This window comes from Homo sapiens, chromosome 17, assembly GCF_000001405.40.
Source record: "Homo sapiens chromosome 17, GRCh38.p14 Primary Assembly".
Taxonomy (NCBI): Eukaryota; Metazoa; Chordata; class Mammalia; order Primates; family Hominidae; genus Homo; species Homo sapiens.
Window position 1 is genome coordinate 49,385,447 of NC_000017.11, and position 17,819 is coordinate 49,403,265.

At 48.3% G+C, this 17,819-nt stretch overlaps 1 pseudogene; it reads right to left on the reverse strand.

Moving 5' to 3' along the window:
- On the reverse strand, window positions 14,950–15,354 carry RPL21P124 (ribosomal protein L21 pseudogene 124; annotated as a pseudogene).

Below are 17,819 nucleotides of genomic sequence, written 5' to 3' on the forward strand. Positions count from 1 at the left end.
ATATATATTTGCGGTGAGGTTCGTTTTTTTAGCAATGGTAGATGTGAAGCCCACATTTCAAATAGTCACCTTGATAACTACAAATTACGAAAAAGAAGGAATAAGTTCTAGTGTTGGATAATACAATAGGGCAACTATAGTTAACAATCATTTATTGTATTTTTTAAAATAGCTAGAAGAGAATATTTGGAATGTTCCCAACACAAAGAAATGATCAGTGCTTGAGGTGATGGCTATCCCAGTTACCCAGATTTGATCATTACACACCGTATGCTTGTGTTACAGTATCACACATACCCCATACATAGGTACAACTATTCTATACCCATAAAAATTAAAAATAAAAAAAACTTTTGGCCATCTTCCTGTGAGCCCTGATTAGACTGTCACTGTTTTAGCCTCATAACAGGGCTGGCAGAGTTCCTGTGAGGAGCAGGGCCAGCTTTTCCGTTTTCTTGTGTGCCTGTGCTTGCTAAATTAGGGTGATCTTTAATCTGCAGGGTTTTTGCTGGAATCTTTTTAAACCCCTTGTTCATTCTGTAAAGGTTAATTTAGTTTATGTTAGATCATACACTCCACTGTGTAATTTAACCAGGCAATGTAAGCTGTGATCCTTTGCCATTTTCTGGCCATGATCTGGAGCGAGGGAGCCCTCTCAGCCCCTGCAATACACTTCCCACACCTCCTGCAGGAGACCCCACATGCTACACTCTGCCTGTGACTCAGTGTCCATCCGTATATTTGCATCATGGTAAAGCTTGCCCTACTCACTGTGAAGGGCATCTCCTGCTGGACCTCCTTCTCGTGGCGGTACTCATCATTTCTGTCCTCTCCTGTGCCCTCCTGGCAGTCTCAGCCACCTCAAGCTTACCTTTCTAAAACCTTCTTTGTAGGCCGGGCATGGTGGCTGTGCCTGTAATCCCAGCACTTTGGGAGACTGAGGTGGGTGGATCTCTTGAGCCCAGGAGTTTGAGACCAGCCTGGGCAACATGGTGAAACCCCGTCTCTACTAAACATACAAAAATTAGGTGGGTGTGGTGGTCCACGCCTGTAGTCCCAGCTACTCAGAAGGTTGAGGTGGGAGGATCACCTGAGCTCGCGAAGTTGAGGCCGAAGTGAGCCGAGATTGCGCCACTGCATTCCAGTCTGAGCGATGGGAGTTGAGATCCCCACTCCCCTCTCTATATTCCTGATCTCCATTAAGAACATCACTAAATGCCCAGTTGCCGATCTCCACCCCTTCCTCTTTGTCATACTTCCAGACAAATCCACTTTCTAAGACCCCTCCCTCATTGTCTCTTGTCCTGACCGCTGCTGGGACCACTTAACCAGTGGACCTCCCTGCCACTGCTCCCTTCCCCTCTTATTTACCCTCCATGCTTCTGTCAGATAAATCTCTCTTTTTTTTTTTTTGAGATGGAGTCTCACTGTGTCACCAAGGCTGGAGTGCAGTGGCACACTCTCGGCTCACTGCAACCTCCGCCTCCTGGGTTCAAGTGATTCTCCTGCCTCAGCCTGCCGAGTAGCTGGGATTGCAGGCACCCACCACCACACCCAGCTAATTTCTGTATTTTTAGTAGAGACAGGGTTTCTCCATGCTGGTCAGGCTGGTCTCGAACTCCTGACCTCAAGCGATCCACCCACCTCAGCTTCCCAAAGTGGTGGGATTACAGGCATGAGCCATCATGCCTGGCCGAGAAATCTTTCAAGTGCACAAATCTGATTGGTTTCCCCACTTCCTAGTCTTTCCATTTGCCTCCTGCCACAGGATAAAGTGCAAACTCTTGGCAGAGCTTTGCAAGACCAGTCCCTGCTGGCCGCTGCAAACTGGTCACCCCCAGCCACACCACTCACTTTCAAGCCCCAGCCAACCACCCAGGAGCTGCCACCTTGTACACTGTATTCCCTGTTTCTTAGACTATCTTTTCATGTCCTTTCTTCTCGGCCTCCTTAACGTCCAAGACCAGCTTGCCTGGCCTCTTCCAAACACTGACGGCAGACAAAGTTGCCCTGTGTCTCGGCACCCTAGCACTTGTATGAAACTCTCTTGTGTTATGCTCAAATGTGGTCGCTTAGTTGTTTGTATCCTCCATAAGATATCAGTTCCTGAGCACTCGGGCCTGTATTCTACTGATCTCTACAGCCTCCTGTTCCCAGCCCCCTCCTGGCTTGCTGTGGTGTCAGCCTGTCTGTGAAGGACTGTTCCACTGGTATAAGGTGTTAGGTACGACTTTTCTATCCACTGCTGCACTGCCCTCAACCCCAACCCCAATAGTGTTAGCTATTACTAGGGCCCAGATACTGTTCTAGCAGCCGTGGGCTTATCAGCTCACTTACCCTCACTACACTGCCATGAGGTCACCTATTGTTAGCCCCGTTTTACAGATGAGGAAACTGAAACACAGCAAATTACGTGTTAGTCCCAGGTCATGCAGCTAGGTGACAGACTCAGGAGTCGAACACAGCCACCCTAGATCCAGAGCCCTAGTATTAGCCTCTGGGCATACAGACAACACTGTGACGCCTCACTCAGCCTTCTCACTGTCCCCGCTTCCTCTGACAAGAGTGGCTGCTGTTCCCAAGGCCAACTAAACTCTCTTTCCACCCTGCCCAATGCTGAGGGTCTGGTGGCTTAGCTGGCCCCTTCCCCCTCAGAGAAAGTAACAGATATGACAGGCTCCCCTCCTGTCACGAATGCCCCACCATGCTTGGAGGAGGCCCTCTGCTCATCCACTCATCTCCTGGCCTGAAACTCTTTGAGGGGATCTGAATCCTGGTATTAGTGAGTCGAAACCATTTCTCTGGGAGGACCTGCCTGAACTATGCCCAGGAAGGCAAAGCCCATCTCGACCCCATGCTATGCCTACCAACCCGGCAGGCACCTGGAGGGTGTCCACACCTACTTCACCTGATCAGCTTCTGGCCACTCAGAACATCTCCTTCTCTGGGGCTTTTTCTCTATTCCGCCTTGCCTCCCCACACTTCCTTCCTGTTCTTATTTCTCTTTACAAGACTGGGTATTTTTAACCTGAGGTTTCCACTTATCTCTTCTTGTCTGATTGGGACTGGGCTGGGCAGGGGTGCCAGTGTGCTGGAAGGGCTAGGAGTATTTTGCTAGCCTCAGAGGCTACAGTCCGCATCCGACACTCTAGGCCCAGACTTTGCCCCGACTCTACCCATCTTTGTGGAGCTATGGAGCTCCCCTCCTCTACTTCTGGAGTATAACCTTAAACTGGCCTTGGGTTGAAGCTTTGGAAACTGTGCAGGGCATGGAAGGAGCTGAACTTCCCACCCTCCCCTCCACGCACTCCCCATGCCCACTCCTACTCCCAGGATGCTGCCGCTAGGTGAAGATGAAGAGCACTTTGAGGCCAGGTGCAGTGGCTTACCCTGTAATTCCAGCACTTGGGAGGCTGAGGTAGCAGGATCGCTTGAGCACAGGAGTTGGAGAACAGCCTGGGCAACACAGTGAGACACCTATCTCTACAAAAACAAAAACAAAAAAAGCTGGCGTGATTGAGCCACTGCATTTCAGTCTGGGTGACAGAGAAGACCTTGTCTCAAAACAAACAAACAAAAAACACCTTGAATTTCACACGTCCCTGGAACAGCCACCAGGATCATCCCTCAGTCCACTTTCATGATCCACATTATAAACATGGATGCCTTTCTGAGGGATTATGGGCCTTCAGAGCTGCTCTTTCATCTGCCTCAGCCTTGAGGTGCAGCTCAGAGAGCTCTGCCCTCACACCCTGGCCCCTCTTGCACATCCCTGAAGGTCTCTGCTTCAATGTCCTCCTACCTAAGCCCCCAGCCAGGCCCACCCATCACTCTCCACTCCGTCCTCACCTGTGGGTCTCCAACCCTCATGTGTCCCACGCTTCTCTGCACTCCAGGTGCTTAATAGAGAAACTTTTATTTGAAGTCCGTACAGCTGCAAAGTGGAGATAATTGGGGGTTTTGGTTGTGGTGTTTGTTTTTTAGTTTGGTTTCTGTACCAGCTTTCTTAAAAAAAGAAAATGGTGGCCACTGAACAGGGTGATTTCAGAGATTTTTTAAAAAGCAACTGACAAGCCCAGTGCAGTGACTCATGCCTGTAATCCCAGAACTTTGGGAGGCTGAGGTGGGCGGATCACTTGAGGTCAGGAGTTCAAGACCAGCCTGGCCAACATGGTGAAACCCTATCTCTACTAAAACTACAAAAATTAGCTGGGTGTGGTGGCGCGTACCTGTAATCCCAGCTACTCAGGAGGCTGAGGCAGGAGAATCACTTGAGCTTGGGAGGCAGAGGTTGCAGTGAGCCAAGATCGTGCCACTGCTCTCTAGCCTGGCAACAGAGTGAGACTCCATCTCAAAAAAAAAAAAAAAAAAGAAAAAAAAAAGCAACTGACAGTGACTCACTTGCTCCAGGCCGGCAGGCCTAAGTTTAATGTTCTGTAAAGTAATTGATAGTCATAATGACTGCCTGAGGCACAGTGGTATCCCGATGTGCGCTTTGAGTCTCACTGCAAAAGATTAAATATGTTCCGCATTGTGTTTATGTTTGACTGTATTTTTAAAATTCTAATTCCTTTAAAATGGGCACCCCCGGTATAATGTACGTAGTGACTCTTTAATTAGGGAACTGATTTTCCATGTGGTCTAGTGGCTTTCAGGACTTGTTGACTAGACAGAATATCTGCAGCTCTCATCGCCAGCCTCACCCAGCCACACCTCAGCTTCACACTCTGGTAACTGTCCTCACCACTCCCTCCTGTTCAGCTGCCCCATGGTCCCAAGAAGCAATGCTTTCCAGCCCCATTGTGAGCTGAGGCTGCAGCCCTGTCTGGCACCGCTTTTATAATTGGTCATTCAGTCTTCAAACCTCTGTGGAGCATCCCCCATGAATAGAGAGCCATGCTGGGTGGGGACTGGGAAGAAGCAGAAGAAAATGTGTCAGTGCTGCCTTCAGGGAGAAAACACACACAAACACCTAGACAGTTGCTTCCTACAAGTTCAAAAGAACTTGACCTCGGAACCGAAGAAATAAGGTCAGGGTTTATCAGAAAAATATTCCCAAAGGGGAGAATTTGAGCCTAACTTTGATTGTCAGGAAGGCTATCCGTGCTGGGTAGATAGGTGCACGGAGATGGGGAGGCTATGCTGGCAGTGAGGCCAGAATCCCTCATCACCTCTACCAGGAAGTAGCCTTCTGAATCCTGGACTGCTCCTCCCCCTTTGGGCTAACTGGCTGATAAGGACTGGGGACCAACCCCAGCAAGGAGGAAGTGGACTGGCTTCCTGTTTATTTATGAATCTCAGAGCAGCACCGTGCAGCCGTGAACACCAACCAAGCACAGCAATCCCAGCCCAAGCCAAGAGCCCCAGGGAGCCCGTCTGCTGACCCAGCAAGCCCTCACCCAGCTGGGAGATGCAAGGACTCCATCCCAGGGCAGCCCATGGTCCGGAGGGCCAGCCTGGGAGCAGCCATGCCAGATTGTCAGGAACAGGAGGTAGAGGAGTGACAACTTCCCCAAAGAGGTCAAAGCCACACATTCGTAATATGAAGCCACTGGGCAGCTCCAGGGGCCCAAGCATTGGCTTTCCCTTCACCCCAAAGGTTATTTCCTAAGACTCTGGGCACAACTGTGGGGCCTGTGGGAAAATCGTGTGCAGAAATAGCTGGGCCTTTTAAGAACCAGGCAGTTTTGTTTCCAACAGCAAAAGCTGACTGGTGACAACACATCCCAGAGCCACATGAGGGAAAACAATGTAGCCATTTAAAAGAATGGGGTGGATTAGTCTGTGCTACAGGGCAAGATGTCCAAGATACTTCCATAAATGAAAACAAGGTGCAGAACAGAACAGTACGTACAGTGTGATCTTTTGTGCAAATAATTACAATAGCAGAGGATAAGTATGTACAGGCTTAGAGATATATGAGCTGCTGAATGCATGACTTTTTTTTTTTCTGGAAGGAAATTTAAACAATCTAACTGGTTATTTTAGAAATATTTTGAGAGAAAAGTGGTGGGAGGGCTTTCTCTTTTCATTATTCATCTTTCTCACATTGCATAGTGAGGTATATATATTTAGGAAATGTTACCTGTGGACAATGAAGTTATGGTTCATTCTGTTTTATTCTTTACATTTCATTTTTTGTTTTTTTGTTTTTTGTTTTTTTGCGACAGGGTCTTGCTCTGTCCCCCAGGCTAGAGTGCAGTGGCGTGATCCTGGCTTACTGCAGCCTCAACCTGCTGGGCTCAAGCGATCCTCCCACCTCAGCCTCCCAAGCAGCTGGTACTACAGGCGTGTGCCACCATGACCAGCTAATTTTTAATTTTTTTGTAGAGATGAAGGCCTCACTATGTTGCCCAGACTGGTCTGTATGTTTTTTTGTTTTCTGAGACAGAGTCTTACTCTACTGCCCAGGCTGGAATGCAGTGGTGCAATTTAGACTCACTGCAACCTCCGTCTCCCAGGTTCAAGCGATTCTCTTGCCTCAGCCTCCTGAGTAGCTGGGATTACAGGCGCCCGCCACTATGCCCGGCTAATTTTTGTATTTATTTATTTATTTTTTTGAGACAGAGTCTCGCTCTGTTGCCCAGGCTGGAATGCAGTGGCGCGATCTCGGCTCAAGGCAACTTCCACCTCCCCAGTTCAAGCGATTCTCTTGCTTCAGCCTCCCGAGTAGCTGGGACTACAGGTGCGTGCCACCATGCCCAGCTAATTTTTTGTATTTTTAGTAGAGACGGGGTTTCACTGGGTTAGCCAGGATGGTCTCGATCTCTTGACCTTGTGATCTGCCCACTTTGGCCTCCCAAAGTGCTGGGATTACAGGCGTGAGCGACTGCAACCGGCCCTGATTTTTGTATTTTTAGTAGAGATGGGGTTTCACCATGTTGGCCAGGCTGGTCTCAAACCCCTGACCTCAGGTGATCTACCTGCCTTGGCCTCCGAAAGTGCTGGGATTACAGGTGTGAGCCACTGTGCCCAGCCTAGGTTTGTATCTTTTTTGTGTGTGTCTTGTTTTTTGAGATGGTGTCTCACTCTGTCACCCAGGCTGGAGTGCAGTGGTGTGATCTTGGCTCACCACAACCTCTGCCTCATGGGTTCAAGCGATTCTCGTGCCTCAGCCTCCAGAGTGACTGGGATTACAAGTGCCCACCCCCATACCCAGCTAATTTTTGTATTTTTAGTAGAGACAGGGTTTTGCCATCTTGGCCAGGCTGGTCTCAAACTCCTGACCTCAGGTGATCCGCCCATCTCAGCCTCCCAAAGTGCTGGGATTTATAAACGTGAGCCACTGTACCTGGCAAGATCTGTATCTTTTTCTCTTTTTCTTTTCTTTCTTTCTTTTTCTTTTTTTTTTTTTTTTTTTTTTAGGAGTGGAGAGTTTAATAGGCAAGAAAGAAGGGAGAAGAAAGAAGGAAGACGCTCCCCTGTACAGAGACAGAGGGAGGGGGCTCCAAAGCCGAGAGAGGAGACCTCAAGGTCTGTATCATTTATTTATTTATATATTTGTTTATTTATTTATTTATTAAGACGGCCTCCCAAAGTGCTGGGATTACAGGTGTGAGCCACCGTGCCCAGCCGTGGTCTGTATCTTTTTTTTTTTTTTTTAGACAGAGTCTCACTCTTCTCGCCCAGGCTGGAGTGCAATCTCGGCTCACTGCAACCTCCGCCTCCCGGGTTCAAGAGATTCTCCTGCCCCAGCCTCCCGAGTAACTGGGATTAGAGGTGCCCGCCACCACACCTGGCTAATTTTTTGTATTTTTAGTAGAGACGGGGTTTCACCATGTTGGTCAGGCTGGTCTCAAACTCCTGACCTCAGGTGATCCACCTGCCTTAGCCTCCCAAAGTGCTGGGATTACAGGCGTGAGCCACCGCACCTGGCCCAGTCTGTATCTTTTAAAACAAAATGCATTAAACTGATAAGTATTATTTTTAAGACAATTTAAAGAATCAGGCAGTCTGCATTTGCAAGATCAGACAGGTCAGAGCTAGGGTCACTAATTCTCTGGGAAAATCAATGGGAGATGATGGGAGAAATGCTTTGCTTTAAGATCTGTACACATCAATAACAGTGTCCCTGATTCTACACTTCTCTTTGAGGTAGGAGGCAGGACTCAGCTCACGTCTGGAGGTGGAGCTCAGACACGGGGCCTAATTGAGGACTAGCTAAAACAGGGACAGGGCGAAAACACCTCCCCATAAGACATGCCCACTAGCATGCCATGTCAGTTTACTGATGCCATGGCAACACCTGGAAGTTACCGCCCCTTCCCATGGCAATGACCGGATACCCCTTTTCTAGAAATGTCTACAGAATCTGCCCCTTATTTTGCATATAATTAAGAGTGGGTATAACTATGACTGCAGCCCTGCCTCTGAGCTGCTACTCTGGACACACTGCCTATGGAGAAGTCCTGCTCTGCAAAAAGTAGTACCTTTGCTGCTGCTGGACACTGCCACTTCAATAAAAGTTGCTGTCTAACACCACCAGCTCACCCTTGAATTCTTTCCTGGGCAAAGCCGAGAACCCTTCTGGGCTGAGCCTCCACCAACTTCATGGAGTCCTGTGGCAAACGTTTGAGCCTTCTCTGGCTTCCTTCCAACCACTTCCTTTCCCTGTTTCTTCCCCATTTCATGGCCTCATCATTTAATTTTTGGCCTGAGCCAAACAATAAGGAACAGAAATCTGGAGGAAGAAAAAGAAGAAACAAAAACTCAATGTACAGCACTTCAATACCCATGGCCCAATGACCTGTTATTTGGACTAAGTTATATTAACCTCTTTAAGAAAGACCTGAATCGAATTCACCTTTGAATCCCCTGAAGCATGTAGCCTAGGACTGCACACAGTAGGTACTCAATAATACCTGTTGGATGAGTGAATGGAGCAACTGTGTACACAGCACTTGTCCTTTTTCAAGTCTGTTCTTTGATAAAAGCACCCACAAGATAGAAGGTCAAGCCTCCCCAAGTACTTAGCCTAACAGATTTAACGTTGCCCCTCCTCATGAGTGTTTTGGGAAATTGGAAGGAAACTCCTGGGGCCTCTGAAAGAGAATCTGATGTCCCCTCTGTGGTTCTTTTTTTTTTTTTTTGAGACGGAGTCTCGCTGTGTCACCCAGGCTGGAGTGCAGTGGCGCGATCTCAGCTCACTGCAACCTCTGCCTCCCAGGTTCAAGCGATTCTCCTGCCTCAGCCTCCCGAGTAGCTGGGATTACAGGCGTCCGCCACCATGCCTGGCTAATTTTTGTATCTTTAGGAGAGACAGGGTTTCACTATGTTGGTCAGGCTGGTCTCGAACTCCAGACCTCAAGTGATCCACCCGCCTCAGCCTCCCAAAGTGATTATAGGCCTGAGCGACCGCGCCTGGCCCTGCTCTGTGCCATATTAATTCATTAACAACTGGGTAAGCTGCCCAAACTGACCTTAGGCTACCAAAGGCTGTGTATGTAGCGCCCTGAGAGCCTTCTTGGTTTAAGAAGGAGTTAAAACAGAACTGGGTGGTGGGTCTCCCACCTGGCAGAGAGATGGGTAGCACTAGTTTGGCTGGTGGCTGGTGCAGAACAGTTGGTATATTTACAGCCACAGATGCCCAAGGGGTTCTGTATCAGGAAGTCGTCTGCAGAGAGTCACTTCAACCTGTTTACTTGTCTTCAGTACTGGCGCTAACATTCTCCTAGTCTTTCCCCGGGATATTTTTCTGAACATCTTGTGCTGGTTGACACAGGCTGGCACGGCTAGTAACAGGCAGGTTGCTGCCATCTGGTGGAGAAGAGGGGCCACGGCCTTGCCTGGCTCAGTCTGAGACTGAAGAGATGAAAAGAATTTTTGAGGAACGCTTCTAGGAGAGTGGATTTCAAACTTCCACAGCCATGGAACCCTTACTTCTTTTAAAGTTTATTTTATGTATTTATTTTTTTAGAGGTAGGGTTTCGCCATGTTGGCCAGGCTGGTCTTGAACTCCTGACCTCAAGTGATCTACCTGCCTCGGCCTCCCAAAGTGCTGGGATTACAGGCATGAACCATAGCACCTGGCCATGGAACCCTTCTTTCTTCTTCTTCTTCTTCTTTTTTTTTTTTTTTTTGAGACGTCTCGCTCTGTCGGCCAGACTGGAGTGCAGTAGTGAGATCTTGGCTCACTGCACCCTCCGCCTCCCAGGTTCAAGAAATTCTCCTGTCTCAGCCTCCCGAGTAGCTGGGACTACAGGTACACGCCACCATGCCTGGCTAACTTTTGTATTTTTAGTAGACATGGGGTTTCACCATATTGGTCAGGCTGGTCTCTAACTCCTGATCTCAGGTGATCCACCCGCCTCGGCCTCCCAAAGTGCTTGGATTACAGGTGTGAGCCACCACGCCCAGCAGAACCCTTCCTTCTAACAACAGCAGTGCCTAAGGCCCTTGTGTAAAACTGATAAATGCATCATGGCTCTGGCTGAAAGCATCTTCACATCAATCACCTCATATACTCTTCAATAACACTACAATGTGAATATTCGTATCTTTAGTTTCTTGAGGAAAAAAATAAGGCTGTTTGAAGTATTTAAGTAATTTACCCAAGGTTTCCCAAGCTATTCAGTGGCAGAGTCAGAATACAAACCCAGATTATTATTATTATTATTATTATTATTATTTTTGACACAGGCTTTCTCTCTGTCACCCAGGCTGGAGTGCAGTGGTGCAATCACAGCTCACTGCAGCCTCGACCTCCCAGGCTTAAGCAATCCTGCCACCTCAGCCTGAGTAGCTGGGACCCCAGGCATGTGCCACCATGCCTAGCTATTTTTTAAATTTTTTGTAGAGTCAGGGTCTCGCTATGTGGCCCAGGCTGGTCTTGAACTTGTGGGCTCAAGTGATCCACCTGCCTCACCTTCCCAAACTGCTGATATTACAGGCATGAGCCAACAAGCCCGGCTTTTTGTTTGTTTGTTTGTTTTGACAGGATTTAATACTATTGCCTAGGCTAGAGTGCAGTGTTGCTCACTGCAGATGCGAATTCCCGTGCTCAAGCAATCCTCCCAACTCAATCTTCCAAGTAGCTGAAACTACAGGTATGCATGACCACACCTGGCTAATTTTTTATTTTTTGATTTTTTTGTAGAGATGAGGTCTTGCTGTGCTGCCCAGGCTGGTCTCAAACTCTTGGCTTCAAATGATCCTCCTGCTTTGGCCTCCTAAAGTGTTGGGATTACAGGCATGAGCCATCGCGCCTGGCCCAAACCCACATCTTTCTAGTTCTAGAACCTGCACTAGTTCCACTAAACTGAGTTGCCTTCTGGAGTGAGAACCCTGGGAAGTCCAGCCCAGCACAGTTTCAGTGTCAGCAAGCATTGCTGTAGTTCACTGGCATGAAGATGAAGGGCTTTTTTTTTTTTTTTTGAGACAGAGTTTCGCTCTTGTTGCCCAAGCTAGAGTGCAATGGCACGATCTCGGCTCACTGCAACCTCTGCCTCCCTAGTTCAAGCGATTCTTCTGCCTCAGCCTCCTGACTAGCTGGTATTACAGGCATGCACCATCACACCCGGCTAATTTTTTGTATTTTTAGTAGAAACAGGGTTTCAACATGTTAGCCAGGCTGGTCTTGAACACCTGACCTCAGGTGATTTGCCCGCCTCAGCCTCCCAAAGTGCTGGGATTACAGGCATGAGCCACCGCGCCCGGCCCATGAAGGGACTTTCAAAAGAGAAGACATTGTCTCTGTCTCCCCACTTTTCCAGTCTAGCTGGGGATGAAAGAGTGTGTATGAAGGGAATGGACAGGACACATGCCGCCACCCATCTGCGGATGCAAAGGAAGGATTTATATGCCAAGGTGCCCCAGATATTGGAGCATTTGAAGCTGAGAGATGGGATAGGAAAAGCACTAGATGGAGAGTTTGGGGACCTACATCCCAACCCTGGCTTTGCTACTCATACCCTGTGGGACATTGTGCAAACCTCCTTACCCTCCTCACCCAAAGGAAGGGGTGTTCCTGAGGATCTGAAAGCCTCCTCTTCAATTCTGTGCTGTTGTGGTTTCAATGGGGGTGGAGCTAGACAGGAGAGGAATCCTAAAGAAAGTAAGCTTTGAAGAGAACCTTGAGCAGGGGAAAGGTAGGACATGGAAGAGGGAAGTGGCACTGCACATAAGAGCTTGGCAGAGGCAACAAAGGAAAGAAGCTCATTCTTGAATGCTTCTTAAAGATTAGCTCTGGCACAGTTCACAGTAAAGAGCACCCGTAGGTTCTTTTGGAGTTTCTAGTTGTCCAGGACAAATATGGGCTTAGTCAAGACACTCCTCCACCCAGAGGCTAAAGCTCCCAGAGGCCCCAGTGTCTGGGATTCATTGCTACACTGGGCTCCCTTCCTCGGCCGTGGCCTCTCCTTGCTTTGGAAAGACAGTCCAGCAGCAAACACTCCCTGGAGACCAAAGGAGTGGAAAAGAAGTGGTTTTCAACCTCAGACCACCAGGAGACCTTCCTTATTAATTCCTACCTGCTTGCTACCCTCGTTCTCATCTACTGCCATTTCAGAAACATGTGTAAGCCACAGAGAACAGCAGGTGTTATAAATCTGTGTGCCAGGGCCCCAATGTGACTTTGCTTCTCAGATCACCATAGCCTTGGACACAATCAAAGACTGGTGACAATTACATTGCTATCTGACTTAAATCCCTCAGCCCCTCCTGTTGCCTGAGACTTCCAAATTCTGGGGTTCTTCCTTCTCTTCTCCAAGGCTATCAAATCCCCTAAGTTAGGGGTCAGCAAACTTTTTTTTTTTTTTTGAGACAGAGTCTCGCTCTGTAGCCCAGGCTGGAGAGCAGTGGCATGATCTTGGCTCACTGAAACCTCTGCTTCTTGCTTCAGCCTCCCAAGTAGCTGGGATTACTGGCACCTGCCACCATGTCCAACTAATTTTTTTTTTTTTTTTTTTTTTTAGTAGAGACAGAGTCTCACTATGTTGGCCAGGCTGGTATCGAACTCCTAACCTCAAGTGATCCATCCGCTTCGGCCTCCCAAAGTGCTGGGATTACAGATGTGAACCACCACACCCAGCCAGGGGTCAGCAAACTTCTTCCATAAAGGAATAGATAGCAAATATTTTAGGCTGTACAAGCCATATGGTTTCTGCTGCAACTATTCAGCTCTGCTGTTGTAGTGCTGAGGAGCATAGCTATATTCCAAAAAAAATTTACTTATGGACTGAAGTATGAATTTCACATTTTCATATATTATAGAATACTTATTTTTATTTTTATTTATTTTTTTAATGAGATGAGGCTTCGCTATGTCCAGGCTGGTCTTGAACTCCTGGACTCAGGTGATTCACCTGCCTCTGCCTCCCAAAGTGCTAGGATTACAGGCGTGAGCCACCGTACTTAGCCCCTATTATTTTTTTAGAGACAAGGTCTCCTCTGTCACCCAGACTGGAGTGCAGTGTCTTGATCATAGCTCGCTAAAACCTTAAACTCCTAGATTCAAATGATTCTCCTGCCTCAGCCTCCTGAGTGGCTAGGACTACAGGCACGCACTCCTACACCTAGCTAATTTTTTATCTTTTTTTTTTTTTGAAATGGAGTCTCGCTCTGTTGCCCAGGCTGGAGTGCAGTGGCGCAGTCTTGGCTCACTGCAGGCTCCACCCCCCAGGTTCACGCCATTCTCCTGCCTCAGCCTCCCAAATAGCTGGGACTACAGGCGCCCGCCACCATACCTGGCTAATTTTTTGTATTTTTAGTAGAGACGGGGTTTTACTGTTAGCCAGGATGGTCTTGATCTCCTGACCTCGTGATCCGCCCGCCTTGGCCTCCCAAAGTGCTGGGATTACAGGCGTGAGCCACCACTCCTGGCCCGCTAATTTTTTATCTTTTGATTTTTTTTTTTTTTTTTTTTAGAGATGGGGGTCTCACTATGTTGCCCAGGCTGGTCTCAGACTCTTGGCCTCAAGCAATCCTCCCATATGGGCCTCCCAAAGTGTTGGAATTACAGGCGTGAGTGACCACGCCTGGCCTTCATGTGTCACAAAATATTCTCTTCTTTTGACTTTGTCCTAAGCACTTAAAAGTGTAAAAATTCAAGTTAAATGTCAGAAACGAAAAAAAGTGTAAACATCATTCTTAGCTCATGAGCTATACAGAAACAAGTGAAAGGCTGTATTTGGCCCACAGGTTATATAGCTTGCCAACTCCTGACCAGTGTTTGCACCTCTTTCAGCCAAACTTAGATGGTCCAAGCCTTTCAATGATCATAGCTTTTCTGGCTAATCCAAGTGGGTTGTCCCAGTCTCCAAGGATGGCAACAGCTTTAAGTTCCCTAAAAGTAGCCTTACCCTTTCAGCTTTATTTTCTCTTCTGAAGTGGCTTGATTAGAGGGTGCTAGAGAGCCACCCCTCCTTCCCATGCCCCTAGCTATAAACTGGTTTCCCCAGTACATTTCCACCCATTCTCTCTCTCGACTATGTGCACCTGGGCCTTACCGAGTCACCTTAGTCCCTACTGGCTGGGGCAGGCCTCATCACTCCATTTTGTTAAATTCTCTACCCTGGTGTTGCCAGAACTCTGGAGCCAATGCCTCTTTTATTAAGGGAGATTTTATATACAAGGAAAGCTTGGAAGAGGTCAGCCAGAGGTGAATTCCTGGAGCAGGGGGATTTTAAGCTGAGCTTCACAGGCACAGGGTCAGGAATTAGAGGAGGGAAGAGAGAAGCGTGGTGTTCCAGACAGAAGCAGGAGAGAGTGGGCTGTGAGTAGGTGACAGGGAGGGGACAGTCCGCAAGTGGACACCCACAGGAAGTGAGATAGATATTATTCTGAGGAATTGGTCTTGGGAAGGGAGGTGGCATTGGTGGTTGGGTTGGCCAGTTAGACCCAGAAAACCCTGATTCAGAGCAGCTGGAGATAACTTGACCTATGGCATGAGAGGAGAACTCAAGAGTCTCAACTTCCAGCTCTGTTTTTGTTTTTGTTTTTGTTTTTAACGGTCCAGAAGTCTTTTATTTATTTATTTTGTGCCTATTATGCTATGAATTCATAGGGAACAGGTTCCAGCAGCTCAGACGCCTTACCATTGGTTTTCACAATGTGTGCTTCTCTGGGTGGAGCAGGCTGGCGCTTCAGTTGAACCCACATACTTTTCTCTTTGGCGTCTTTCTTTTTCTGATCATTTATTTTGATATGTTTCAGGAAGCGATTCCAGCTCTCAGAGTGCTTAATGTGCTCAATAAGTACATTCATTCTCTTGACAAGATTCTTGCCCTTGTTTCCAACAATGCCAACAGCTTGCTGGTAACACTGTAGACTCTTTTGAGTTTTGCCATGGAAATGTTTGTGGGGAATTCCTTTTTGAACAGCACCCATTCTCTTGATGTCTACAATATCACCTTTTTTTTTTTTTTTTTTTTTTTTTTGAGATGGAGTCTCACTCTGTCGCCCAGGCTGGAGTGCAGTGGTGCAATCTCGGCTCACTACAACCTCCGCCTCCTGGGTTCAAGCGATTCTCCTGCCTCAGCCTCCTGAGTAGCTGGGATTACAGGTGCCCGCCACCACGCTCAGCTAATATTTTGTATTTTTAGTAGAGATGGGGTTTCATCATGTTGCCCAGGATGGTCTTGAACTCCCGACCTCAGGTGATCCACCTGCCTCGGCCTCCCAAAGTGCTGGGATTACAGGCGTGAGCCACCGTGCCTGGCCCGCTTGCATTTTCAAACAGCACTCCCCACCCTGTGAGAACCACTAGGTAGGTTTGTGAGGTAAGCAGTAAAATAGTGTTAGGCTAGAAAGGGGTAGCCAGTACACGGAGAACCTTGAATGTCAGGACAAGACATTGCACTAAATTGAAGGTTCTTCATTGTGGAGGGGATGAGATCTGCTTTAGAAAAATGAAGTTTGGGCCAGGGGTGTTGGCTCACGCCTATAATCCCAGCACTTTGGGAGGCTGAGGTGGGTAGATTACTTGAGGCCAGGAGTTCAAGACCAGTCTGGCCAACATGGTGAAACCCCATCTCTATTAAAAATTCAAAAATTAGCTGGGTGTGGTAGCGCATGCCTGTAATCTAGCTACTCAGGAGGCTGAGGCAGGAGAATCACTTCAACCTGAGAGGCAGAGGCTGCAGTGAGCCGAGATTGTGCCACTATATTCCAGCCTGGGTGACAGAGCGAGACTTTGTCAAAAAAAAAGAAAAGAAAAGAAAAGAAAAATGAAGTTTGGAGCACTGTACAGAATGAATGGAAGATCTATGAGAGGCAGACCAATCAGTTGCAGCTTCCTGCGTCCTTCTCACCCAGGTAATTTTCAATCTGGGTGGGCTGCTTTGGCACAATTATTGGTGGATTGCAGAGGTCAAGGGGAGGACCTAACTGCACATCCTGGGGCTGATGGCTGGAATGTAACTAGATTATTTGCTAAGGCGGGATTTGACTAATATTCCACTGTCTTTCCTGTATTTCAAATAAACCCATGAGATTAACACAACGCTCCTCCTCCCCATCAGTCCACACTGGCGGAAGTTGTGTAAAACTAGCAGAAGTCAGGAAAATGGCAACCCTTTGAGGGTTTTTCTCTCCTCTCCCTGCCCAGGGTGCACTGCCTTCTTCGCCCTTCATAGCCTGAACAAGGGAACTATTCAGCCCGACCAAAGGGGAGAGGGAGGAAGACACTTCCTGCTCTCCCTTCCCTGGCCAGGACAGGACATGGTTTTTGATCCAAGGCCCAGAGAATCCCGAGCTGATAAAGGCCCATTGTGGCAGTTTCTGGAGAAACCCAGAGGCCATCAGGGGCTAAGAAGCTGGTTAACAGCCCTTGAACATTTGTGAAAAGAATTACTTGGCGGAAGTCAAGGCAAAATGAGGCCCCTGGGCTGCCACTGGGATATGCCTTTGCCATCCCTGGCAGGGAGGCTAATGGCAAAGCCAGCAGGAAACCTGGCCCTCCTGCCACTGAAAGGGCTGACCTGAAGGCACTAGCAACCTCAAAGCAGTGCAAGGCAGCTTTGCAGCTCAGGGCTCCCCTACAGACACCTGGAGGATGAAACCCAATCTCCCGCCAAATGCAGGAAACACAACTGCTCTTTTAAAAAGAGCCTGGGAAAGAGAGAGGAGCCTCCTGTCCTCCCACCCCCAAAAGGGTGTCCAAAGCAATAAACAGCAGGAAAAGGAGGAAGGGCGCAGAGTGGAAGCTGGTCTGGAACTTATTTAGGAATTAGGCTCTTTCTGCTCCAATCTTTAATGCGCTTTGAGTTCAGGCACCTCATCATTCGAAAGCCTATTCTTACAGCAAAAGAGCCAAAGTGGGAAGAGATATCCTGAGGCCTGAGATAAATGATGCTGGGGAGGCGGCAGGGAGATGGGCTGGATGCGGGGAGGCTCACGGGAGGGAGGTTTGAGGTGCAGCTGAGGGTCAGGAGCCCACCACACACTGTGGTCTGCTCCCGGGATGGCTGCTGGGAGGCCCTGGGAGGGGTGCAGGATGCAGGGATTGGGAGAACTCAATCCCTGGCTCCATCCCAAATCTGTGCATCGGGTCTCCCTCTTCCCCAGCTGACAGGTGGTGGCCCGATCACTCTGGGGGAGGAAATGTGGAATCCAGGTCAGAGAGCAGCCTGTGGAGTCTTCTTAAAGACCCCTCTCTGTGGCCAGGTGGTGAGCCTGGGGATTAAATGAAGAGCAGATTTAAAGCACAGTCAGTGCTGTCCACTCACTGCATGCTGTTTCCACTCTGTTCCTAGAAGGATTTGGGGTGGGTGATTGACACAGTTCATTTCTCAACCTGCGGTGGGCTTTCCCTCCCCATCATCCAAAATGCACAAACTCAGCTCCCCTCAAATGCCAAGGCATTTCCAATTTCCCTATTGTCA